A 25,345-nucleotide genomic window follows, 5' to 3' on the forward strand; every position below is an offset into this window, starting at 1 on the left:
AGTGATACCTGGCAGAGCCATTAGCCCAACCCTTTCAGTTCTGGTACTGGGCAGTGGGCTCTCTCCACTCGCTGCCTAGGCCCTTCGACGCTCCCACCCAGAAATGATGACATGGCTAGTGAGGCTGACAGTCTTGCTGTAATTGGGAGAAAACGAGCTGCAGCACATTTGGCAGATTGAGTCACCAGCAGCCAATGTCAGGGGTTGTGCAGGCAGCTGAAGGGCTCAGGGCTCCCTGCCTCACATGGTGAAAGAGGAAGAAAGAGGTCAATTGGGAAAATTGGTCCCTGGGGCTGCTTCCTCTCTTCACTCACAGGAAGGTGGGTAAGGGCATCATCTCCCTTTGCTGCCAACGCTTCCTTTGGGAGAGGCTGGAGAGGGTTTATAAAAATCTCCTAGTGGAAACAACCTCCCCCACTGGCCCCCAGCTGGCCTCTGCTCCCTTCCAGTCACTTCACAGCAGAGTTCAAATCTAGAACCCTGTGTGTTTCATAGGCCTGAGGGTGGTGGGGGGAGGACAGGGTGGCCAGAGGCAAGGGGTGGGGGATCAGGGGCAGTGGTCATTCTTAGCAGTTCCAGGGAAACAGGGCCTTTCTCCCAAGTACCCTGCACAGGCTCAGTGGCAGCACTGGCCACTTGCCTTCCCAGGAGGGTCCCAAACCCCAACAGAGTGCCTCAGAGTAGAGAGGGTTCAAGCAAGGAAGACCACAAAGATGATGAAGAAGACAATGAGGATGAGGAAGATTTTGACCATGAGCCACCGGTTGGAGGTGACAGACTGGAAGTACTTGAGGATCTCTGAATGGGCGGCCTCAACGTCCAGCTGGGCTCCTAGCACGTTCTCGTCGATCCTGGGGACAAGGCCGGGAGAAGAGGAAACAAAAGGACACTGGATTAAAAAGAATGCTGTTGAAGTCCATTTATTGACATGGAAAGATGGTCACAATATGATCCCATTCTTATATATATTTGTGTATAGAAAAGGCTTTGGAAGGGTACTATAAACAAGTTATTTCTGGTTTGAAAACCAACTCTGCCATTTATTAGCTTAAGACTCTAAGTTAGTCTAACTTCAAGCTTCATTTTCCTCACCGGCAAAATGAGGATAACCCAAACCCTACCTTCTCTCAGGCTACTGTCTGTCTTCAATGAGTTAGTATAAAGTCCCTAACCCACAAGAGCCCCGAAAATGTTAGTTACAATTTTTCCTCATCAGTATTTACATTTTTATCTGGTGAGTATGTATTATATTTATTGTAAGGGGAAAAATGTTCACAGACCATTGCAGTCAGGAAATCATGGTTCTGAGTGAAAAAGGAAAACATAATGACACGGACAGGAAATCAGGGGATAAAAAAAGCTCTATGGCCAACCATGGTGGCTCAGGCCAGTAATCCCAGCACTTTGGGAGGCTGAGGTGGGCAGATGGCTTGAGCTCACGAGTTTGAGACCAGCCTAGGCAACATGGCAAAACCCCATCTCTGCAAAAAATACAAAAATTAGCTGGGTGTGCTGGTGTGACCCTACAGTCCCAGCTACTCGGGAGGCTGAGGTGGGAGGATAGCTTGAACCCAGGAGGTTGAGGAGCTTGATGCTGCAGTGAGATTGTGCCACTGCACTCCAGCATGGGTGACATAGCAAGACTGCCTCAGGGGGAAAAAAAAAAAAAAACACCAAAAAAAAAGGTATATGGACCCTAGTTTTGGCCAGGCTGTAATCCCAGCACTTTGGTAGGCCCAGGCAGGAGGATCACTTGAGCCTAGGAGTTGGAGACCAGCTTGAACAACATGGTAAGACACTTGTCTCTACTAAAAAAATAATAATAAATAAGTATATTGGAGGATGTGAGTAGATTACATGCAAATATGACAAGATTTTATGGGACTTGCGGATGCATGGATTTTGGTTTCCTCTGGGGCTCTTGGAGCCAATGCCCCACAATACCAAGGGATGAGTGTGCTTAATCTGATAGTTAGCACCTTGAACAAGTGATTAAATTGACATCAGCAATAAAAGGGATAACCTCATCAAGTGCCTACTAATGTAATCATCGCAGCACTAATTTAATCAGTGTTAGATTTAATTTAACATTGAACAAAACAAGTTGATGTCATGAAAAATAAAACAAAAGGCCCACTGAAGACACACATCAAATACAAAATGTGAATCTTCCTGGGTCTTAAATTGAAAGAAAAAAGATAAAAACTTTTGTTTTAAATATCAAATGGGGGCCGGACATGGTGGCTCACACCTGTAATCCCAGCACTTTGGGAGGCCGAGGCAGGCCGATCACGAAGTCAGGAGATTGAGACCATTCAGGCTAACATGGTGAAACACTGTCTCTACTAAAAATACAAAAAATTAGCCGGGCATGGTGGCGGGCACCTGTAGTCCCGGCTATTCGGGAGGCTGAGGCAGGAGAATGGCTTGAACCCAGGAGGTGGAGCTTGCAGTGAGCCGAGATCGTGCCACTGCACTCCAGCCTGGGTGACAGAGCGAGACTCCGTCTCAAAAAAAAAAAAAAAAAAAAATCAGATGGGGAAACTTGAACATGGGCTGATTACTGGATCATGTTGGAGAACTGTTAATTTTCTTAGTTTGAAAATGACATTATGGGCAGGGCGTGGTGGCTCACACCTGTAATCCCAGCACTTTGGGAGGCCGAGGTGGGTGCATCACGAGGTCAGGAGATGGAGACCATCCTGGCTAACACGGTGAAACCCCGTCTCTACTAAAAATACAAAAAATTAGCCAGGCGTGGTGGCGGGCGCCTGTAGTCCCAGCTACTCAGGAGGCTGAGGCAGGAGAATGGTGTGAACCTGGGAGGCAGAGCTTGCAGTGAGTGGAGATCGCACCATTGCACTCCAGCCTGGGAAACAGAGCAAGACTCTGTCTCAAAAAAAAAAAAAAAAAAAAAAAAAAAAAAAAGACATTATGGCTGTTCAGGAGAATGCCTTATTATTAGCATGCTGTAGTATCTAGGAATAAAACAGCATGAAATTTGCACCTACTTTCAAATAATTCGGCAAAAGAAAGAGGGGAAAGGCTGAATGTGGTGGCTCACGCCGATAATCCCAGCACTCTGGGAGGCTGAGGTGGGCGGATCACAAGTTCAGGGGTTTGAGACCCGCCTGACCAACATAGTGAAAACCTGTCTCTACTAAAAATACAAAAATTAGCTGGATGTGGTGACGTGCACCTGTAACCCCAGCTACTCAGGAGGCTGAGGCAGGAGAACCACTTGAACCCGGGAGGCGGAGATTGCAGTGAGCTGAGATCTCGCACCACTGCACTCCAACCTGGGTGACAGAGCAAGACTCCATCTCAAAAAAAAAAAAAAAAAAGAAAGAAAAAGAAAAAAAGTGACAAAATGTTAACAATTGGTGGCCAGATCTGGCCAACGCCTGTAATCCCAGCACTTTGGGAAGCCAAGGTGGCTGGATTGCTTGAGTTCAGGAGTTCAAGAACAGCCTGGGGAATATAGGAGACTCTGTCTCTACAAAAAAATTTAAAAATTAGCTGGACATGGTGGCATGTACCTGTTATCCCAGCTACTGGGGAGGCTGAGGTGGGGGGATCACTTGTGCCCAGGAGTTTGAGGCTGCAGTGAGCCATTATTGCGCTACTGCACTATAGCCTGAGTGACAGAGTGTCACCTTGTCTCAAAAGAAAAGAAAAAAACAAATATGAAAACAAAAAAAGTTAGTGACTACAGGTGAAGGGAATATGAGTGTTTATTGTGCTATCCTCCCAACTTTTCTGTAGTTTGAATATTTTATGAGGTGAAAAGGAAAATGACTGAGCAACATTAGATCAGTGGTTTTCACACCTTAGGAAAAATAAGAATCACCTGTTGAATTCTCAAATATAAAAATTCTCAAGTGTCACAACCAGAAATTCTAGGTTGGGGCCCAAGAATCTGCATCCCAAAAAACTTCAGACTTAATCAGTGGTTTCTAGAGCAAGTGCTGAAACCCAGATCCACTGGCATGCAGGGAGGAAGCATATGAATGTCTACACCTATTTTAAAGATGGCATCCTTTCATAAATTTATTTTGTATATGGTTGCCCATAAATTCTACTTCCTTATTTCTTTTATGCTCCAACATACTGTAAAATTGCTACTGAGCCATTCCACTGAAAATACTGGCACTGATCCAATTAATTCAAGCCCCTCCTGACTCAAACACATCCTTACCTCGAACTTTCTTTCTCAGGAGCAAGGAGAAATAACCACTCCTTAAAATTCTTCTATCCCAAGTTCTAAGGACACATTTCTCTCTCTGCTTTCTTCTCTCATCTTCCTCAACCTTCCTCCTCAGTCTGGCCAGATTCTTCCCTTCTCTACATACCCCCTGACTCCATGGGGGATCTGTCCTGACCTTTTTTTCACTTTACCCAGTCTCTGGGTGGTCTATGCCCAGGGTTTCACCAAGAGGCCACTGTCCTAAGTCCTTACCTCTAGCACTGCCTTCTCTTCCAAACATCAGAACATGAAATGCCTACTAAACTCTGTCATTTAGCTGTCCCATGAAGTCTGAGGCACTCAGCACACCCAGAACAAACCTAATTCTCACCCAGCATCAATCCGCTTGCTTCTTCTTATGTTCTCTCCCTGACACCAAATTTCTTGCTGTGACACACAGGTTATCTGTGACCTGGCCTTGCCTCTCACCACTCCCCCAGCCATGCTGAATAATTCTGCACTCCTGTATCTACCAAGTTCTTTCTCATTTCTGTGCTGTTTTTTCCTCACATGGAACAGCTTCTCCTTTCCCCTTTTTGGGCTGGCATTCCCTCCAAGTCTTAGCTTGGTATCACTTCTGGGAAGGCCCCTTGGCCCCATCTAGGAGCAGTACCTACTCTGAGTTCTCTCATCCCTTTTTTTTTTTTTTTAATAGACACGGGGTCTCTGTGTTGCACAGGCTTTCTTGAACTGCTGGCCTCAAGTAATCTGCCTCGGCCTCCCAAAGTGCTAGGATTACAGGGATGAGCCACCACACCCAGCCTCATCCCCTTCTCTTCTTGCCCTATCATACTGAGCTGTCACTGTCAACTTATGTCTCTCCTACTAGTGAGCTCCAGGAGGACCAGAATGGTCTTTCACCCTTTTATCCTCAGACCCAGCAGGATTAGCTCACAGCAGCAACAAATGTTTGCTAAACCAATGAGCAAACACATGCTAACAGTGAAAAATACTTATGACACTGTTTCAAGGAAGACTAGAATGTAAAGTTGCCTATATGCTATAACTTTATTTTAGATGTATATGGATTGAGGAAAGAACTCAAATACCTTTTTTTTTTTTTTTTTTTTTGAGATGGAGTTTTGCTCTTGTTGCCCAGGCTGGAGTGCAATGGTGCGATCTCAGCTCACAGCAACCTCCGCCTCCCGGGTTCAAACCATTCTCCTGCCTCAGCCTCCAGAGTAGCTGGGATTACAGGCATGCGCCACCATGCCTGGCTAATTTTGTATTTTTAGTAGAGACAGGGTTTCTCCATGTTGGTCAGGCTGGTTTCAAACTCTGGACCTCAGGTGGTCCGCCCGCCTCGGCCTCCCAAAGTGCTGGGATTACAGGCATGAGCCACTGCGCCTGGCCCTCCATATCTTTTATAATTCTGTTTCACTGACTCTATAATATTCTTTTTTTTGGAAACGGTGTCTCACTCTGTTGCCCAGGTTGGAGTGCAGTGGCGTGTGGCGTGATCTGGGCTCACTGCAAGCTCCGCCTCCTGGGTTCACGCCATTCTCCTGCCTCAGCCTCCCTAGTAGCTGGGACTACAGGCGCCGGTCACCACACCCGGCTAATTTTTTTGTATTTTTTTTAGTAGAGATGGGGTTTCACCGTGTTAGCCAGGATGGTCTCGATCTCCTGACCTCGTGATTCGCCTGTCTCGCCTCCCAAAGAGCTGAGATTACAGGCGTGAGCCACCACGCCCAGACTTAATATTCTAATATTCAAAATACAACATAGCTCAGGGAGCTATGGTGTTTATGGCATAATTCTGCAAGGGGTTCCCTAGGTCTCAGCTGAAATAGATAAAAATCAATTAGGCCGGGTGCGGTGGCTCACGCCTGTAATCCCAGCACTTTGGGAGGCCGAGGTGGGCGGATCACGAGGTCTAGGAGTTCAAGACCAGCCTGGCCAATATGGTGACACCCCATCTCTACTAAAAATACAAAAATTATCCGGACATGGTGGCTCGTGCCTGTAGTCCCAGCTACTTGGGAGGCTGAGGCAGAAGAATCATTTGAACCCAGGAGGCGGAGGTTGCCACTGCACTCCAGCCTGGGTGGCAGAGTGAGACTCCGTCTCAAAAAAAAAAAAAAAAAAAATCAGTCAATTATTAGCCAGGCATGGTGGTGCATGCCTGTAATCCCAGCTACTCGGGAGGCTGAGGCAGGAGAATCACTTGAACCTGGGAGGAAGGGGTTGCAGTGAGCCAAGATAATGCCACTGCACTGCAGCCTGGGTGACAGAGTGAGACTGTCTCAAACAAACAACAACAAAAAAAATCAGTCAATTCTCCTGACTCTAGGATCAAGACAGCTGTACTCACGGTACCTTATAAATGGCTGGTGCTCAACATATAGTAGTTGAATAAACAAACTTTCTTTTAATCAGTAGTTCCCAAACCTGGATGCTCATCAGAACCCCCTATGGAATTTGTAAAAATGAAGCTCCCTGAAAAGCCCACTCCATTCACATCTCTCGAATCAGAATCTCCAAGTGTTTTCTTTTACCTTGGCCAGTTAAATGTGTGAGGCTGCTTAGTGGATTGATGTTCAGAAACCGGCTTTATACAAATGTAGGTGTTCACTCAGTTTCACATGATCAACAACGTAGAGTAAAAGCACTCTGCTAGATACCGTGGGGAATAAAGATCAATCAGGGTTGGACCCTGCTAAAGGGATAAGATCAAGTGGGCAGGAGTGGATTCCTAAAACCTCCTACACCTCCTCTCCTCTACTGGCTTTTCTTCTTAATGAGCTGAGAAGACTGAAGTGGTCTGAAGATAAATGCCGCTCCACCCCGAGCATTGCTACAATAGCCTCTGTCTTCCCACCTATCGCCAGCTCCTCTTAGAGCCAAGCCTTGATTTATGCCCCGGAGCCCACTTCCTTTCACCTTCTCAAGGACATCATTTCAAGAATTCTCCCATCTTTCTCCTATATTATCATTTTTAAATTTATCCGTTGCATCATTTCCATTGGCATGCTAACATACCTTTATTTTCTCTCAGCCTTTTAAACCCTCTAGGCTCCCACCAGACATATTTGGAACAACTTGAGCACTCACAATAATCATTGCCCTAACTAATAATAAGACAACCAATACATTAAAACCTATAATTAAAGCCTATAGCGATGCTCAGAAAAGAGGAAGAATTTAATTAATTTACTTGAGATGGAGTTTCGCTCTTGTTGCTCAGGATGAAGTGCAATGGCACAACCTTGGCTCATTGCAACCTCCACCTCCTGGGTTCAAGTGATTTTAGTGCCTCAGCCTCCCAAGTAGCTAGCATTACAGGCATGCACCACCACGCCCTAATTTTGTATTTTTGGCAGAGATGGGTTTCACCATGTTGATCAGCCTGGTCTCGAACTCCCGACCTTAGGTGATCCACCCACTTCTGCCTCCCAAAGTGCTGGGATTACAGGTGTGAGCCACCGCACCCGGGACTCTTCCTTTTTTTTTTTTTAGATAAGAGTCTCACTCTGTTGCCCAGGCTGGAGTGCAACGGCGTGATCTCGGCTCACCCAACTTCCGCCTCCCAGGTTCAAGAGATTCTCCTGCCTCAGCATGCCAAATAGTTGGGATTACAGGCAGGTGCCACCACGCTCAGCTAATTTTTTTTTTTTTTTTGAGATGGAGTTTCGCTCGTTGCCCAGGCTGGAGTGTAATGGCGCAATCTTGGCTCACCGCAACCGCTGCCTCCCGGGTTCAGGTGATTTTCCTGCATGCGCCACCACGCTCAGCAAATTTTGTGTTTTTAGTAGAAACGGGGTTGCTCCATGTTGGTCAGGCTGGTCTCCAGCTCCCGACCTCAGGTGATCCGCCTGCCTCGGCCTCCCAGAGTGCTGGGATTACAGGTGTGAGCCACTATGCCTGGCTTTCTGATTTAATATTTAAAAAGCTATTAAACAGTTTGGGGACAACTGGGAAAATGTAAACCCTCACTGGATATCACATATTAGGAAATAGTTAATTCTAACAGATAGGATAACTGGGTGTCTTTTTTTTTTTTGAGATGGAGTCTTGCTCTCTTGCCAGGCTGCAGTGCAGTGGTACGATCTCGGCTCACTGAAACCTACACCTCCCAGGTTCAAGCGATTCTCCTGCCTCAGCCTCCCGAGTAGCTGGGACTACAGGCACGCAGCACCACGCCCAGTTAATTTTTCTGTTTTCAGTAGAGATGGGGTTTCACCATGTTGGCCAAGATGGTCTTGATCTCTTGAGCTTGTGATCCGCCCGCCTTGGCCTCCCAAAGTACTGGGATTACAGGCATGAGCCACCATGCCCAGCCAACCGGGTGTGGTTTTTATTTTATTTATTTTTTATTTTTTAGGACAGAGTATCGCTCTGTCGTAACACTCACTGGATAATACATAATATTAGGAAATCATTAATTTTCACAGACATAACTGGGTGTGGTTTTTATTTTTTGAGACAGAGTATCACTCTGTTGTGACACTCACTGAATAATACATAATATTAGGAAATCGCTAATTTTCATAGATAGGATAACGGCGTGGTTTTTTTTTTTTTATTTTTTGAGACAGAGTCTCGCTCTGTCGCCCAGGCTGGAGTGCAGTGGCACAATCTCGGCTCACTGCAACCTCTGCCTCCCAGGTTCAAGCACTGCTCCTGCCTCAGCCTCCCAAGTAGCTGGGACCACAGGCATGCACCACTATGCCCAGCTGATTTTTGTATTTTTAGTAGAGATGGGGTTTCTCCATGTTGGCCAGGCTGGTCTCAAACTCCTGACCTCAGGTGATCCGCCCGCTTTGGCCTCCCGAAGTGCTAGGATTACAGGTGTGAGCCACCGCGCCCAGTCTGGTTTTTATTTTTTTATTTAATTTTTAAATTTTATTCTAGTTTCAGGGGTACATGTGTAGGTTGGTTCTATAAATAAATTGCGTGTCTTGGGGCTTGGTATACATATTATCTCATCACCCAGGTAATAAAAAATACAGAAAGCTTCACAAATTTGTGCCATCCATGTGCAGAGGCCATGCTAACCTCTGTATTATTCAAATTTTAATATATGTCCTGCTGAAGTGAGTACTGGATGTGGTTTTTAAAAAGAATTTGTGTATTCTTAGGAGACGCATGTTAAAATATTTAAGGATTAAGTGTCACGATATCGGCAACCTACTGTGAAATGGTTCAGAAAAATAAAGATAAAGCTAATCTGGCCAACTGTTAACTGTTGAATGTAGGTTGCAGCTATATTAGTGTTTATTATGGTTCTTTCAACTTACTGGTAAACTTAAAATTTTTATTTTAAAAAATTTTTTAGAGATACGGTCTCACTCTATTGCCCAGGCTGTAGTACAATGGCACCATCATAGCCTATTGTAACCTCCTACTCCTAGACTCAAGTGATCTTCTCCGCTGAGCCTCCTAAATAGCTAGGACTACAGGCATGTCACCATGCCAGGCTAATTTTTCATTTTCTTGGAGAGATAGGGTCTTGCTATGTTGCCTAGGCTGGTCCTGAGCTTCTGGCCTCAAGCAATCCTCCCGCCTTGAACTCCCAGAGCACTAGGATTAACTTTGCCTAACCCCCAAATTTTCATAGTAAAAAAACGAAAAAAGAAAACTTCTGAATAACTTCCTCCTATCAGCTATTACTCCATTTCCTTTCTCCATTTTGAAGCAAAACTCTTAGAGCTGTCCATTCTCCACCCTGGCTAACATGGTGAAACCCGCCTTTACTGAAAAAAAAAAAAAAAAAAAAGAAGAATTAGCTGGGTATGGGGTGTGGTGGTACGTGACTGTACTCGGGAGGCTGAGGAAAGAGAATCGCTTGAACCTGGGAGGCGAAGGTTGCAGTGAGCCGAGATTGCGCCACTACACTCCAGCCTGGCAACACAGCAAGACTCTGTCTCAAAAAAAAGAAAGAAAGAGCTGTCTATTCATCTATTCCTACTCTTTCTAATTGCTCTCTCTCATTCTTGTTTGTTTGTTTTTCTGTTTTGAGACAGAGTCTTGCTCTGTCACTCAGGCTGGAGTGCAGTGGCGGGATCTCGGCTCACTGCAACCTCAGCCTCCTGGGGATAACAGGCACACGCCACCATGCCCAGCTAATTTTTTTGTATTTTTAGTGGAGACGGGGTTTCACCATGTTGCCCAGGGTGGTCTTGAACTCCTGGCCTCAAGTGATCCACCTGCCTCAGCCTCCCAAAGTGCTAGGATTACAGGCAAGAGCCACCATGGCTAGCTTCATTCTCTCTTAAACGCCACTGCATTCGAGCTTTTGCTTCCATCCCTCTATTGAATCTGACTCAAAGTCACCAACAATATCTACATTGCTGAATCCAATGACTATTTCTCAATCCTCGAGGTTCTGCTTCCAGTAATGCCTGGGTACCTCCTATTATACCAATCATTCCATAAATTACATAAACCACAGAGGAAATATAAAAAACAATGATCTTAGTTCAGCCAAGTTAACTGCCTGCGAAAACAAAAAAGTCAACATTCTTTATAGAAACATAACATAATCCAGACTCTTCATATCAATAACATGTACGATAAAATCCTCAATTAGTAGATATACAATGAAACAGGGAACTGTGACCCATACAGAAGAGAAAAGGCAATGAATGGCCCCATCCCTAGGATAATCCAGATGATGAGAATTAAATTTTAAGGCAGCTATTATAACTGAGGGAAAATATGCTTGTACTCACTAAGAAGGTAGTAAATCACAGCAGAGAAACATAATCTCTAAAAAAGAACCAAGTGTAAATTTGAAACTGAAAATTATCTAAAAAAATTCACCAAATGGGCTTAACAGCAGATTGACCTGAAAATATACATAAAATAAATATAAACTTATTATATAAGACATGTACCTGGAAACATATATATGTATATATTTCCAGATGGTAAGGACAGAAAGAGGCAGAAAAATGTTTAAAGTAATAATAGCCAAATACTTCCTAAATTTAAAGACAAATTTACACATAAAAGAAACTCAGAGGCTGGGTGTGGTGGCTCACGTGGTGGGCGGATCACCTGAGGTCAGTAGTTCGAGACCAGACTGCCCAACATGGCAAAACCCCATCTCTCCTAAAAATACAAAAAATTAGCCAGGCGTGGTGGCGGGCACCTGTAATCCCAGCTACTCAGGAGGCTGAGGCAGGAGAATCACTTGAATCCAGGAGGCAGAGGTTGCAGTGAGCCAAGATCGCACCACTGCATGCTGGCCTGGGTGACAAGAGTGAAACTCCATCTCAAAAAAAAAAAAAAAAAAAGACATGATAGGGCCAGGTGCTGTGGCTCATGCCTGTGATCCCAGCATTTTGGGAGGCGGAAGTGGGAGGATCACTTGAGGTCAGGAGTTCAAAACCAGCCTGGCCAACATAGTGAAACCCCATTTCTACTAAAAATACAAAAAAAAAATTAGCTGGGTATGCTAGTGGTTGCCTGTAATCCCAGCTACTCGGTAAGCTGAGGCACAAGAATCACTTGAATCCAGGAAGTGGAGACTGCAATGAGCCGAGATCGCACCACTGCACTCCAGCCTGGGCAACAAGAGCAAAAACTCTGTCTCAGAAAAAAAAAAAAAAAAGAATAAATCTGTATGAGCCAGGCACATTGGGAGGTCAAGGTGGGAAGATTTCTTGAGCCCAGGAGTTTGAGACCTGCCTGGGCAACATGTGAGATCCCCGTCTCTACCAAAAAAAAAAAAAAAGAAAAAAAATCAGCCTGGTGTGGTGGTGTATGCCTGTAGCTCCAGCTACTCAGGAGGCTGAGGTGGGAGGTCAAGGCTGCAGTGAGCCATGATCGTGCCACTGCACTCCAGCATGGGCAAGAGAGTGAGACCCTGTCTCAGGAAAAAATAAATAAAAAGTTAAAAAAAAGAAAAAACAACTGTATATCCAGAATTCTATATCCAGAGAAAACATCCTTCAAAAATGAAGGTGAGGCCGGGTGCGGTGGCTCGTGCCTGTAATCCCAGCACTTTGGGAGGCCGAGGCAGGTGGATCACGAGGTCAGGAGATCGAGACCATCCTGGCTAACACGGTGAAACCCCGTCTCTACTAAAAATACAAAAAAAATTAGCCGGGCATGGTGGTGGGCGCCTGTAGTCCCAGCTACTCAGGAGGCTGAGGCAGGAGAATGGTGTGAACCCAGGAGACAGAGCTTGCAGTAAGCCGAGATCGTGCCACTGTACTCCAGCCTGGGCAACAGAGTGAGACTCTGTCTGAAAAAAAAAAAAAAAAAAAAAAAAAAAAAAAAAAAAGAAGGTGAAAAAAGTTTAGTTTTGATTTAGTTAGTGAAAAAGATTTCAGTTTTCAGATGAAAGAAAACTGAAAGAAATTGTTGTCAGCAGATCTCCACTACAAAAAAAAAACCAAAGGAAGTGCTTCTTCAGGATAAAGGGAAGAGATACCAGTGGAAAACTTAGATCTATTCAAGGAGGAATGAAGAACACTGAAGATGGTAAATATGTGAGCACTATTACCAAGTCTTCCTCTTAATTTCTTTAAAATACATTTAACTTTTTAATACTTTTTTTTTTTTGAGACAGGGTGTTGCTGTCACCCAGGCTGGAGTGCAGTGGCCCAATCTCTGCTCACTGCAACCTCCGCCCCCAGGGCTCAGGAGATCCTCCTGCCTCAGACTTCAGCTACTGGGAACAGTAGCTGGGACCAAGATGTGCATCACCACGCCCAGCTTGTGTTTTTGTTTTTGTTTTTTCAGAGTTTTGCTCTTGCTGCCCAGGCTGGAATGCAATGGCACGATCTCGGCTCACTGCAACCTCCGCCTCTAAGGTTAAAGTGATTCTCCCACCTCTGGCTCCTGAGTAGTTGGGATTACAGGCATGTGTCACCATGCCCAGCTATTTTTTTTTTTTTTGTATTTTTAGTTGAGATGCGGTTTCACCATTTTGGCCAAGCAGGTCTCAAACTCCTGAACCTCAAATGATCCACCCGCCTCAACCTCCCAAAGTGTTAGGAATACAGGCATGAGCCACCGCTCCCAGGCCAGTAAGTGGAGTTGTTGAACAGGAATATGGATATATGGAGTTTAGGAGACAGGTCTGGGACGGAGATTAAAATATGGGCAGAATCGGCCGGGTGCGGTGGCTCATGCCTGTAATCCCAGAACTTTGGGAGGCCGAGGCGGGCGGATCACAAGGTCAGGAGATCGAGACCATCCTGGCTAACATGGTGAAACCCTGTCTCTACTAAAAATACAAAAAAAATTAGCCGGGCGTGGTGGCGGGAGCCTGTAGTACCAGCTACTCGGGAGGCTGAGGCAGAATGGCGTGAACCTGTGAGGTGGAGCTTGCAGTGAGCCGAGATCACGCGACTGCACTCCAGCCTGGTAACACGACGAGACTCTGTCTCAAAAAAAAAAAAAGGGCGGAATCTGGCCAGGTGTGGTGGCTCACATATGTAATCCCAGCACTTTTGGAGGCCAAGGTGGGGAGATCACTTGAGGCCAGCAGTAATTTTTAATAAGGTTGGATTTAGGGCTGCCATTTTACTATTTTCTTTTTCTTTTTTTTTTTTTTGAGATGGAGTCTCACTCTGTTGCCCAGGCTGGAGGGCAGTGGCGCGATCTCAGCTCACTGCTCCGCCTCCTGGGTTCACACCATTCTTCTGCCTCAGCCTCCCAAGCAGCTGCGCAGGTACCCACTACCACGCCCGGCTAATTTTTTGTCTATTTTCAGTAGAGACGGGGTTTCACCATGTTAGCCAGGATGGTCTCGATCTCCTGACCTCATGATCCGCCTGCCTCGGCCTCCCAAAGTGTTGGGATTACAGGCGTGAGCCACTGCACCCGGCACTATTTTCTATTTTTCGTTCCTCTGTTTATCCTCTCTTGTCCTTCTTTTGAATTAATTGAAATTTTGATTAAAATTCTATTTCCATTTCAATTTGGTTGCTGCTCTTCTTGCTATATGTCATTGTTGAGTTTCTGTTTTATTTCAATGGTTGCTCTAGGGATTACAAAATACACCTTATTAACTTTTCACAGCCTACTTCATAAAAACTGTCAAAATAGGCCAGGTGCGGTGGCTCACACCTGTAATCCTAGCACCCTGGGAGGCCGAGGCAGGCAGATCACAAGGTCAAGAAATCGAGACCATCCTGGCCAACATGGTGAAACCCTGTCTCTACTAAAAATACAAAAATTACCTGGGCATGGTGGTGGGCACCTATAATCCCAACTACTCGGGAGGCTCAGGCAGGAGAATTACTTGAACCTGGAAGGTGGAGGCTGCAGTGACCTGAGATCGAGCCACTGTACTCTAGCCTGGCAACAGAGCGAAACTCCATTTCAAAAAAAAGAAAAACCTGTCAAAATCTTGAAACCCTCTTGCTTCATCCTTTATTCTACAGTTAAATTTGTTGTATCTATGTACTTTACAAATCCCAGAGTATACACTATTATACTTTTTGTTTTAAAGTTAAATGTGGCCAGGCGCAGTGGCTCACATCTGTAATCCCAGCACTTTGGGAGGCCGAAGTGGGCGGATTGCCTGAGGTCAGGAGGTCGAGACCAGCCTGGCCAACATGCTGAAACCCCATCTCTGCTAAAAATACAAAAATTAGCTGGGAGTGGTGTGGGTGCATGTAATCCCAGCTACTCGGGAGGCTGAGGCAGGAGAATTGCTTGAACTCGGAGGGTGCAGTGAGGCGAGAGGTGCCATTGCACTCCAGCCTGGACAACAGTGAAACTCCACCTCAAAAGTAAATAAATAAATAAAAATAAAATTAACACCGGGCATGGTGGCTCATGCCTGTAATCCCAGCACTTTGGGAAGCTGAAGTGGGCGGATCATGACATCAAGAGATTAAGACCATCCTGGCCAACATGGTGAAACCCTGTCTCCACTAAAAATACAAAAATTAGCTGGGCGTGGTCTCACGCACTTGCAGTCCCAGCTACTCAGGAGGCTGAGGCAGGAGAATCACTTGGACCTAGGAGGCAGAGGTTGCAGTGGGCCGAGATTCTGCCACTGCACTCCAGCCTAGCGACAGAGTGAGACTCCATCTCAAAAATAAAAATAAATAAATAAATACATGCATAAATAAATAAAGTTAAATGTATTTGGCCAGTTGTGATGGCTCACACCTGTAATCCCGGCACTTTGGGAGGCCAAGGTGGACAGGTTACTGGAGGCCAGGAGTCCAAGACCAGCCTGGCCAATGTGGCAAAACTCTGTCTCTACTAAAAATACAAAAAGTAGCCGGGCATGGCGGTGCACACCTGTGGTCCCAGGTACTCGGGAGACTGAGGCATGAGAATCACTTGAACCTAGGAGGTGGAGGTTGCAGTGAGCCAAGATCATGCCACTGCACTCCAGCCTGGGCGACACAGCAAGGCTCTGTCTCAAACACAGAAAAACTAACCCCTGCAATGGCTCCCTATGTCACTCAGAGTAAAAGCTAAAGCCTACCAATGGTCCCAAGAGGTCTCACAGTTCCCCTCTGACCACACCTTGTACAACTCTCTTCCTCATTGATCCCAGCTGCAGTAGTCTCTGCTGTCCTTTAACTCATCAAACATATTGTCACCTGCGGGCCTTTGCCAGGGTCTATGTAGCTAATTTCCTCACCTTCTCCCAAGTGTGATGCCACCTTCTTAATAGGGCCTACCTCCCTCCAAACCTGGCACTCCTGATTAGTTTATCCTGTGTTGACTATCTTTTTTTTTTTTTTTGGCATTTACGACCTTTTTTTTTTTTAACATACTATTTATTATGACTTTTTCACATCTATCTCCCTATTAGGATACACGTTCCACAAGGGCAAGGATTTTGTCTCTTTTGTCCACTGCTATATTCCCATAACTGACTGACTGAATGCTAAGCACCACAGAGGAGGAGCAGATAAAAACTCTTGTAGTAGCAGGAGGCACCAGAGGAACAGAGAGGCCAGCCCATTGTTGGGCCTCTGCCTACATCCCTCCAGTACACCCTGTACTTCTCTATCCCTGTTCATTACTTTCTAGCCACGCAGGCCTTCTTGATTCTTGCTATGGTGAGACTGTCCCATCACAAGGCTTTGCTCTAGCTGTCTCCTCGGCCTAGAACACTCTCTGTTCTTTGCCTGGTTGGATCCCTCTTGTCATTCAAGTCTCTGCTTAAATGTCATGTCTTCAGAGCAGCATTCCCTACCACACAATCTGATATACCTACTTAGTCACTTTCTTTTTTTTTTTTGAGATGGGGTCTTGCTCTGTCACTCAGACTGGAGCGCAGTGGTTCCATCATGGCTCACTGCAGCCTCAACCTCCCATGCTTAAGTCATCCTCCCGCCTCAGCCTCCCGAGTAGCTGGAACCACAGGCACACGCAACCATGTCCAGCTAATTTTTTTATTTTTGTAGAGATGGGGTTTCACCATGTTGCCCAGGCTGGTCTTGAACTCCTGAGTTCAACTGACTGTGTGGGCCTCCCAAAGTGCTGGAATTACAGGTGTAAGCCACCGTACCCATCCATTACTTTCTTAACACATCATCCTATTTTAACTCTGTATACAGCCTTTATTACTCCCTGAAATTTTGTTGGTCAATTTTTTATTTTTATTTTTTTGACACAGAATCTGGCTCTGTCACCCAGGCTGGAGTGCAGTGGCACGATCTTGGCTCACTGCAACCTCTGCCTCCCAGGCTCAAGCCATCCTCCCACCTCAGCCTCTCGAGTAGCTGGGACTACAGGCCCATGCCACCATGCCCAGCTAGTTTTTGTATTTTTTTGTAGAGACAGGGTCTTGCTTTGTTGCCCAAACTGGTCTTGAATTCCTGAACTCAAGCGATCTGCATTGCTCGGCCTCCCAAAGTGCTGCCTATGGGATTACAGGTGTGAGTCACTGTGCCAGCCTTGTCAGTTCTTTTCCACAGCTGTCCTCATCTGCCCTATCAAATTCCATACACTTACACATGCTACAAAGCAGCTCCAGACAGACTTTACTGTTCTACTTGCCACTGTATCTCCCGCACCTGGAACAGTGCCTCACATGAACAGGTGCTCAATAAAAACTTGTTGGGTGGATGGAAGCAGGTGAACTGGGTCCCATGGGTGGGCAGAATTCACTCTATCTTCCAAAAGGCATCAAGCAGTCCCTGGGGACTTTAAGATGCCAATCCACGGGGAAGAGAAAGCTCCTCTGTTTGGGGCGAGAGAGTGTATCTCACCTCTGAATGGTTTCCTCCTGTTCCTTAACCATGTGTGCCAACTGCTGAAAGATGGAGCCCAACTCAACAATTGTCGACTCAATGTTCTGCATGGTGTCTGCCCGACTCTGGATGTAGGAATCCTTCAGGAGAGGGAGAGAGCACATGAGCACCAACAGCTTCTTCAGGGTCAGACCTGCATTTTTACAACCCTCCCAGCTTGCCATTCTGCCCATGGCACACTCCAAACACTCTCTCGGGAACCACAGAGGATAATGGAGAAGCTGATTCTACCTAGTTCAGAGCCTGGGTACCTGCTCGTCAATGAGCTGCAGCTGCTGGCTGGTCCGAGAGTCCATCATGTCGATGGCGACATCCTTGGAGGCATGGGACTCTGCCCCCAGAACCACAGCACCACCGCCTGGGGGAGAAAACAGGATGTGGCACACCTTAACAGTTAAAAGCAGGTTCAAAGCCCACATGCTCTGGGTTTGAATCCCAGCTCTAGCACTTACTAGCCTTGTGACCCTGGACAGGTCATTTAACCTCTCTGAGCCTCAGTTTCCTCACCTGTAAAATGGGGGATAATAATAGTTGCTTTCTCAAAGGGTGGTTGTGAAAATTAAATGAGAGAATGTGAATAAAGTGTACGAAAAAAAATTAGAAATTATCATTATTCTGAATATAACTGAATTCACCCCAACAGTGAGAATGTGGGAGTCTAAATGTGGATCACGAATCTCAACCATCTGGTTTGGCCTCTGAGAGATAAAGCCTAGAAAATTCCTTGACCTTCCACTCTCCTACCCAACCCGTGCCTTTAGAGGATGCCATCACAACCAGAGTAAGTAACCTTACCTCCCAGGGCTCCCCGTTTTACCTGTGACTTACCCAGGTGGTTAGGGGCAAGGGGCAGGGCTGACACAGGTGCCCGGGAGAACTGCTCTCTCCGGCTCCTCTGCTGCTTCAGGTTCTGGGGTTGGGGAAAAACGCAAAGGACCTGAAGCCACTAGAAAGCAGGCATGTTAAAGAGACTCCCACCATTGGCCCCATGACCCTGTAGAACTTGTCCCTTCTTCATTTCCCTCTTGGATCTTTACTCCCATATTCCTACCCCTCCTACGCAGATTGTTCTCACCTCTGTCCTCACTTCTAAAACCGATTTGAAGTCATTGGACATAGAAGCCAGTTTCGACTAGAAGAAAAGGAGAGAGGGTCAACCAAAGAAGGCTCCACATTCTTCCTCTTTGCCTCCCTCCCTTCCTCCCCAGGTCCCACCTGCAAGGAGACCACAATGGTGTTGGAGTGGGTCTGCAGGTGCCGGCCACTCTGGCTGCCCTTGGCTCTCACGAAATCCTGGAGCTGAGCAATTTGTTTGTTGAGGCTATTGATGTCCTGGTAAAAGAGTCCAAGGAAAAACAAAGTATTAGCCAAGGAGTCCTTAGTCAGCATCTCTCACGATGGCCATCTCTGGTAGGAAGGACAAGGTGGAAGTTACTAGCCAGAGTGAGAGTATCTCAGACAGTCAGACCAGATGGGCCTGCTAGGATTTTCCAAGGTCTAGTGTTTGCTCTGGCTCAGTCCCTGCAGAGAAGAGCTACAAAGAGGCAAAATAGGCCTTCATCCATTGTAAATAACTTGTTTACTCCTCCAGCCTACTGCCCTGCTCCATTCTGTGAGGCCATGCTCTTGGCCACAGAACCCTTTCAAAGGCCAAAATCTCGGGTCTAGGGCATGACCAACAAAGCCCCCGGACAGTACTCAGGAAAAGGGAAGAGTCAAAGGCACTGTAGTTTCGAGAGGCATCAACAGAACTATTTTCATACACACAATTCCTCAATGGCTAATGTCTGTAAACCCACCACTTTGAGAGGCCAAGGCAGGCAGATCATGAGGTCAAGAGATTGAGACCATCCTGGCCAACATGGTGAAATGCCATCTCTACTAAAAATACCAAAAATTAGCTGGGTGTGGTGGCGCGCGCCTATAATCCCAGCTACTTGGGATGCTGAGGCAAAAGAATCGTTTTGAACCTGGGAGGTGGAGGTTGCAGTGAGCCTAGATCGCGCCACTGCACTCCAGCCTGGCGACAGAGTGAGACTCCGTCTTAAAAAAAAAAAAAGTTATTATTGGCCTGGCGCGGTGGCTCACGCCTGTAATCCCATCACTTTGGGAGGCTGAGGTGGGCGGATCACCTGAGGTCAGGAGTTTGAGACCAGCCTGACCAACGTGGAGAAACCCTGTCTCTACTAAAAATACAAAATTAGCCGGGCGCGGTGGCACGTGCCTGTAATCCCAGCTATTCGGGAGGCTGAGGCAGGGGAGTCACTTGAACCCAGGAGACAGAGGTTGCAGTGAGCTGAGATCGCGCCACTGTGCTCCAGCCTGAGCAACAAGAGTGAAACTCTGTCTCAAAAAATAATAATAAATAAATAAATAAATAAAATAAAAGTTATTATTACAGTCGAGTGCAGTGGCTCACACCTGTAATCCCAGCACTTTGGGAGGCCAAGGTGGGCGGCTCACTTGAGGTCAGGAGTTCGAGACCAGCCTGGCATACCCCGTCTCTACTAAAGATAAAACAATTAGCCAGTCATTGGTAGCGGGTGCCTATAGTCCCAGCTACTGGGGAGGCTGAGGCAGGAGAATCGCTTGCACCTGGGAGGTGGAGGTTGCAGTGAGCCAAGATCGCACCACTGCACTCCGGCCTGGGTGAAAGAGCAAAACTCTGCCTCAAAAAAAAAAAAAAAAAAAAAATTATCCAGGAATGAGGGCATGTCCCTGTAGTCTCTACCACTCAGGAGGCTCAGGCTGGAGGAAAGCTTGAGGCCAGGAGTTAAGGGCTGCAGTGAGCTAGGTCACACCACTACACTCCAGACTGGTCAACACAGTGAGACCCCCCTCTCTAAAAAAAGAAACTTGCTCTGGGTCCCCATGGCAATGGAAAATGACAGGAAGACAGAAGTGATCTGATTGGAATGCTGGGCTCTCCTGATGGCTAGTAGCTCACCTGTTTGATGATATATGTTAGCTCTTCAATTTCCACTGCTTTATCATCAAAGAGGGACTTGCGCTTTGCCACTACAGAGACAAACAAGAAGCCACAATGGGTGAGGTCAAGGACAAAGCTCAGGGAATATAGTCCTCAACCCTCTTTGATTTACTGCCCCACTTCTGAAAGACCCCAAGAACACTCACAGATTGTCAGCTTCTCCAGCTTGGCAAATGTGTTGCTAAGGTCTTTCCCAATGCGCCTGCAAATGACCACTAGTCAGACTGTGGGAAAGGGCAGGACGCCTTTTCCCACATAAGCTCCAGCATAACCAATCCCAGACTTCACAGCCAAGGCCACTGATTGCAAGTCTACTTTTCTTCAGACACTGTATCACCCCACCAGAAAGCTTCTCTCAACTCACTTGGCCATGAGGGTGAATTCACTGCGTTGTCGGACAGCACGCAAAGCTGGCTTATTTGTCTGGATTCCATTCTGAAAAGCAATGGCAGGAGGTGACAACTTTAGTTCTCCCTTCCCCAGTTCCAGCTTTCACTCTTCCTGAGGTGTCCACTAACCTATCTCTAGTGCTGGTGGCATCCATCAGATGATCTAGATTTATGAGTGGTAGTCGTTTAGAGTCCAGATTTGAAGAGCAGGTAGACCTGAGTTCAAATCTTGACTCACCACTTACTACTAGCTGGTGGATTTGGGGCGAGTTACTTAAAACATTCTAAATCTCTACTTTCTCTTCTATAAAATGAAGACAATCCACACATCTCCTATTGTTGCTAAGGTTAAATAACAAAAAGGCTGAAAAGTACTTCAGTCAACTACCTGGTACATAGTAAGCACTAAATAAATGGTATCTAGTATTGCCATTCTATTCCTCAAATCAGGAAATCAATAAGGATGATTGCAAAGCTCTTGGAGATCATACAGAAGAGCAGCTTTACCATGAGCTGAAAAACACTTCTTTATAACTTTTCTGTTTTTGAGACAGGGTCTCACTCTGTCTCCCAGGTTGGAATATAGTAGCATGATCATAACTTACTGCGGCCTCGACATCCTGGGCTCAAGTGATCCTCCAACTTCAGCCTCCCAAGTAGCTGGGACTACAGGGCACACCACCACACCTAGCTAATTTTTAACTTTTTGTAGAGATAGGGTCTTGCTATATTGCCCAGGCTGGTCTTGAACTCCTAGGCTCACGCAATCCTCCCACCTCAGCCTCCCAAAGTGCTGGGATTACAGGTGCCAGCCAGCATGTCCAGCCATCAGTAAAAATATTTAAAAATACAGTTACTCGGCCGGGTGCAGTGGCTCACGCCTGTAATCCCAGCACTTTGGAAAGCTGAGGCAGGCGGATCACGAGGTCAAGAGATTGAGACCAACCTGGCTAACATGGTGAAACCCCATCTCTACTAAAAATACAAAAATTTAGCCAGGTGTGGTGGCATGCACCTGTAGTCCCAGCTACTCAGCAGGCTGAGGCCGGAGAATCACTTGAACCTGGGAGGTGGAGGCTGCCGTGAGCCAAGATCCCACCACTGCACTCCAGCCTGGGTGACAGAGCGAGACTCCGTCTCAAAATAAATAAATAAATAAATAAACAAACAAACAAACAAATAAATAAATACAGTTACTTGGCCAGGTGCAGTGGCTCACACCTGTAATCCCAGCATTTTGGGAGGCCGAGGCAAGCAGATCACGAGGTCAAGAGACAGAGACCATCCTGGCGAACACAGTGAAACCCCGTCTCTACTAAAAATACAAAAATTAGCTGGGTGTCCTGGCACCGCCTGTATTCCCAGCTACTTGGGAGGCTGAGGCAGGAGAATCACTTAAACCCAGAGGTGGAGGCTGCAGTGAACCCAGATCACGTCACTGCACTCCAGCCTGGCAACAAAGAGAGACTGTCTCAAAAACAAACAAACAAACAAACAAACAAACAAACACAAACTGCTTACTCGGGTCCCACTGGGATTGTTGAAAAAAACACTCCCGGCTGGGTACGGTGGCTCACGCTTGCAATCCCAGCACTTTGGAAGGCTGAGGCGGGCAGAGCACCTGAGGTCGGGAGTTTGAGACCAGCCTGACCAATATGGAGAAACCCCGTCTCCACTCAAAATACAAAATTAGCCAGGCATGGTGGCGCATGTCTGTAATCCCAGCTACTTGGGAGGCTGAGGCAGGAGAATCACTGGAACCCGGGAGGCGGAGGTTGCAGTGAGCTAAGATCGTGCCACTGCACTACAGCCTGGGCAACAAGAGCGAAATTCCCATCTCAAAAATAAATAAATAAATAAATAAATAAATAGCACTCCCAAATTTTTTTTAAGAGGAGCTGAGTGCAGTGGCTGACACCTGTAATCCCAGCACTTTGAGAAGATAAAGCAGACGGATCACTTGAGCCCAGAAGTTCGAGACCAGCCTGGGCAACATGGTAAAACCCCATCTCTACTAACAAAACAGAAATTAGCCAGATGTGGTGGCACATGCCTATAATCCCAGCTACTGAGGAGCCTGAGGCAGGAGGGTTGCTTGAGCCCAGGAGGTCAGATGTTGCAGTGAGATGAGATAGAACCATTGTACTCCAGCCTTGGTGACAGAGTGAGACCATGTTTCCAAAAAAGGAGAGAGAGAGGCCAGGTGTGGTGACTCATACCTGTAATCCCAGCACTTTGGGAGGCTGAGGAGGGCAGATCACCTCAGGTCAGGAGTTCAAAGCCAGCCTGACATGGTGAAACCCCATCTCTACTAAAAAAAAATACAAAAATTAGCCGGGCGTGGTGACGGGCACCTGTAATCCCAGCTACTCGAGAGGCTAAGGCAGGAGAATCGCTTGAACCCAGGAAGAGGAGGTTGCAGTGAGCCGAGATTGCACCATTGCACCCCAGTCTGGGCGACAAGGCAAAATTCCTTCTCAAAAAAAAAAAAAAAAAAAAAAGAGAGAGAGGAAGAGACTGGGCCTCGCTCAGCCTTCTAAGTAGCTGGGACTACAGGCACATGCCACCACGTCCAGCTTTTTTTTTTTTTTTTCCTGTAGAAACAGGGTCTTGCTTTGTTGCTCCTGCTGGTCTCTAACTCCTGGCCTCAAGTCATCCTCTGGCCTAGGCCTCCCAAAGTGCTGGAATTACAGGTATGAGCCACCACATCCAACCCTAAGTGATTTTGATACAAATTACTGATCTAGGGCCAGGTGTGGTGTCCAGACCAACCTGGGCAACATAGTGAGACACTGCCTGTACGAAAAAATTTTAAAATTAGCTGAGTGGTGCATCCATGTAGTCCCAGCTGCTCAGGAGGCTGAGGAAAGAGGATCCCTTGAGTCTAGGAGTTCAAGACTGCAAGTGAGCTATCATCACACCACTACACTCCAGCCTGTTGACAGAGTTGAAAAACAGATCTCAAAACAAAACAAAAACAACAAATTACTTATCTAGAAAATGTCCTTAATCTTACAGAGATAAAAACTAATATGTAACTAGATTAACTAATTTTCTCATGGTTACAGAGCAAACTTATGGTAGAAGTATATTGGAAAATTCAAGGTGCATGTTTCTCAGCTAAAGGCTCTTCCTAGAACTTGTTCCTTATTCACACCAATTATATTGCAGCCAAGTACTCTCTGAAGTACTCCCTCCAGAATAGCAATCCTGCCCTCCAAAGGATTCCTCACAAAAAAAAGTCTAAGTCCTTGCCCCTAGTTAGCCAGCCGACCTCTTCTCTGTTGCTTATAGCAGACCCTACAGGCCCCATCCAAGCCTATCAGTTCCATCAGGTACCCCCCAAAATTACTTCGGTTAACAGTGGTGGAGCACAGTCCTTCCTAGATTTGAGTAAGGCTCACTCCTCGCCTTTTCCACTCCAGGTCCTTACCTGACGGGTCTGCAGCGACTTGCAGGCAGACAGAAACTCCTGGGTCCGATCCCGGCAGGACATGGTGTCGGGAGGGGGAGGGACGAGGGTCACTGGGGGGGGCAGAGGGGCGATGTCGCTGCTGCTACTGCCAGCAGTTGCAGGGGACAGGACCTGTGTCTTTGAGAGACCCAGGTAGACACCCTGATCCGTGTTCTTAGACCCGTAGCGTTTCCGCGGGATCATTGAGACGCATAACCTCGGACTGTTGTGGAGGGGAGAGTGTCATTCCCCAGGCAACTTCTTTACCCAAACTCCCCCGCCCCACCCCAATCAACAAATCCCCGAGCCCCTTCTGCACTTCTCGTGGACTTTCGCGCCCAGGACGCTCGCAAATCCTGGGGCGGACCAGCAGCGGAAAGGGCCCCGCTTTTCCCCTGTCCCAAGTCGAACCCGCTTCAGACTCTTCTTCCAACTTGGCTCTGGCGGCCAGAGCGCGGGCCGGGGACCCTGAAGCAGAGACAGGGCCAGAGCCAACCCCGTGGTCCTGAGACTCCGGCCCGGCCCGTGTAACTGCCCCGGGCCCTAACCCAGCCCTTTCGTTTCCGCGGTTTCCTTCGGCCCCTCCGGGAGGGCCAGTGACGGACCTCCAAAGACTGACACACTTCGGTGGGCGGAGGGGGAAAACCTCTGGGTGTTTATTTGAAACAGGAAGTCCCACCCCCCGCCCAAGGTCCGCCTTCTGGAAGACTTCAACCACTCATTAGCTAAGGCCGACGTCTCTCTCAACAGAGGCTTTCCTGATTGGACGGCAAGGAATTCGCTCACCCGGAGCCGGGCCGGCAGGACTTGCCCGCTCGCCCCTGATTCCCTTCCCCCCGCCAGTCGTCGCCCCCGTAAAACCACTGCCCCAGAGCTGACACGGCGGCCAGATCCCCTCTTAAAGCGAATCTTACCTCCCCTCTGCCGCCTGCCGCCGCCGCCACTTCCAATCTCACCGGCCGTCACTGCCTCCTCCCCGAGCACTGAAGCCGCCGAAACCCGACCAAAGACTGGAAGCGGCCACGTCACCTACACGTAACCCCACCCCCAGTGACGAGGGGGCGGTCCCACGCGTTTCAAGCC

The 25,345-nt window shown here is 47.1% G+C and overlaps 1 protein-coding gene and 1 pseudogene across 5 annotated transcripts, besides 1 other annotated feature; both read right to left on the bottom strand.

The window, feature by feature from the left end:
• STX5 (syntaxin 5) lies at positions 83–25,274 on the bottom strand. Of its 5 annotated transcripts, none has more exons than NM_001330294.2 (11): positions 25,177–25,274; positions 24,242–24,333; positions 20,784–20,854; positions 20,566–20,621; positions 20,378–20,448; positions 18,646–18,762; positions 18,506–18,562; positions 18,259–18,340; positions 17,682–17,788; positions 17,389–17,510; positions 83–851 (listed from the first exon to the last, which is right to left on the bottom strand). In NM_001330294.2, the coding sequence occupies exons 2-11, from the start codon at positions 24,302–24,304 to the stop codon at positions 692–694; spliced, it is 906 nt and encodes a 301-aa protein (NP_001317223.1). In that variant the 5' UTR covers positions 24,305–24,333; positions 25,177–25,274; the 3' UTR covers positions 83–691. The 5 variants fall into 5 exon arrangements, with proteins under 5 accessions (NP_001317223.1, NP_003155.2, XP_047283461.1 ...); NM_003164.5 differs by having other exon boundaries at positions 24,242–24,485; XM_047427505.1 differs by lacking the exon at positions 25,177–25,274 and adding an exon at positions 24,674–24,878 and having other exon boundaries at positions 24,242–24,485.
• On the bottom strand, positions 9,189–9,290 carry RNU6-118P (RNA, U6 small nuclear 118, pseudogene; annotated as a pseudogene).
• Positions 25,185–25,274: an enhancer, noted in NCBI's record as "active region_4852". NCBI's record gives its function as "activates an Ori minimal core promoter by ATAC-STARR-seq in GM12878 lymphoblastoid cells {active_cell/tissue: GM12878}" and the evidence as "EXISTENCE:reporter gene assay evidence [ECO:0000049][PMID:35858748]".

The sequence above is a fragment of the Homo sapiens genome, chromosome 11, assembly GCF_000001405.40.
Source record: "Homo sapiens chromosome 11, GRCh38.p14 Primary Assembly".
NCBI lineage: Eukaryota > Metazoa > Chordata > Mammalia > Primates > Hominidae > Homo > Homo sapiens.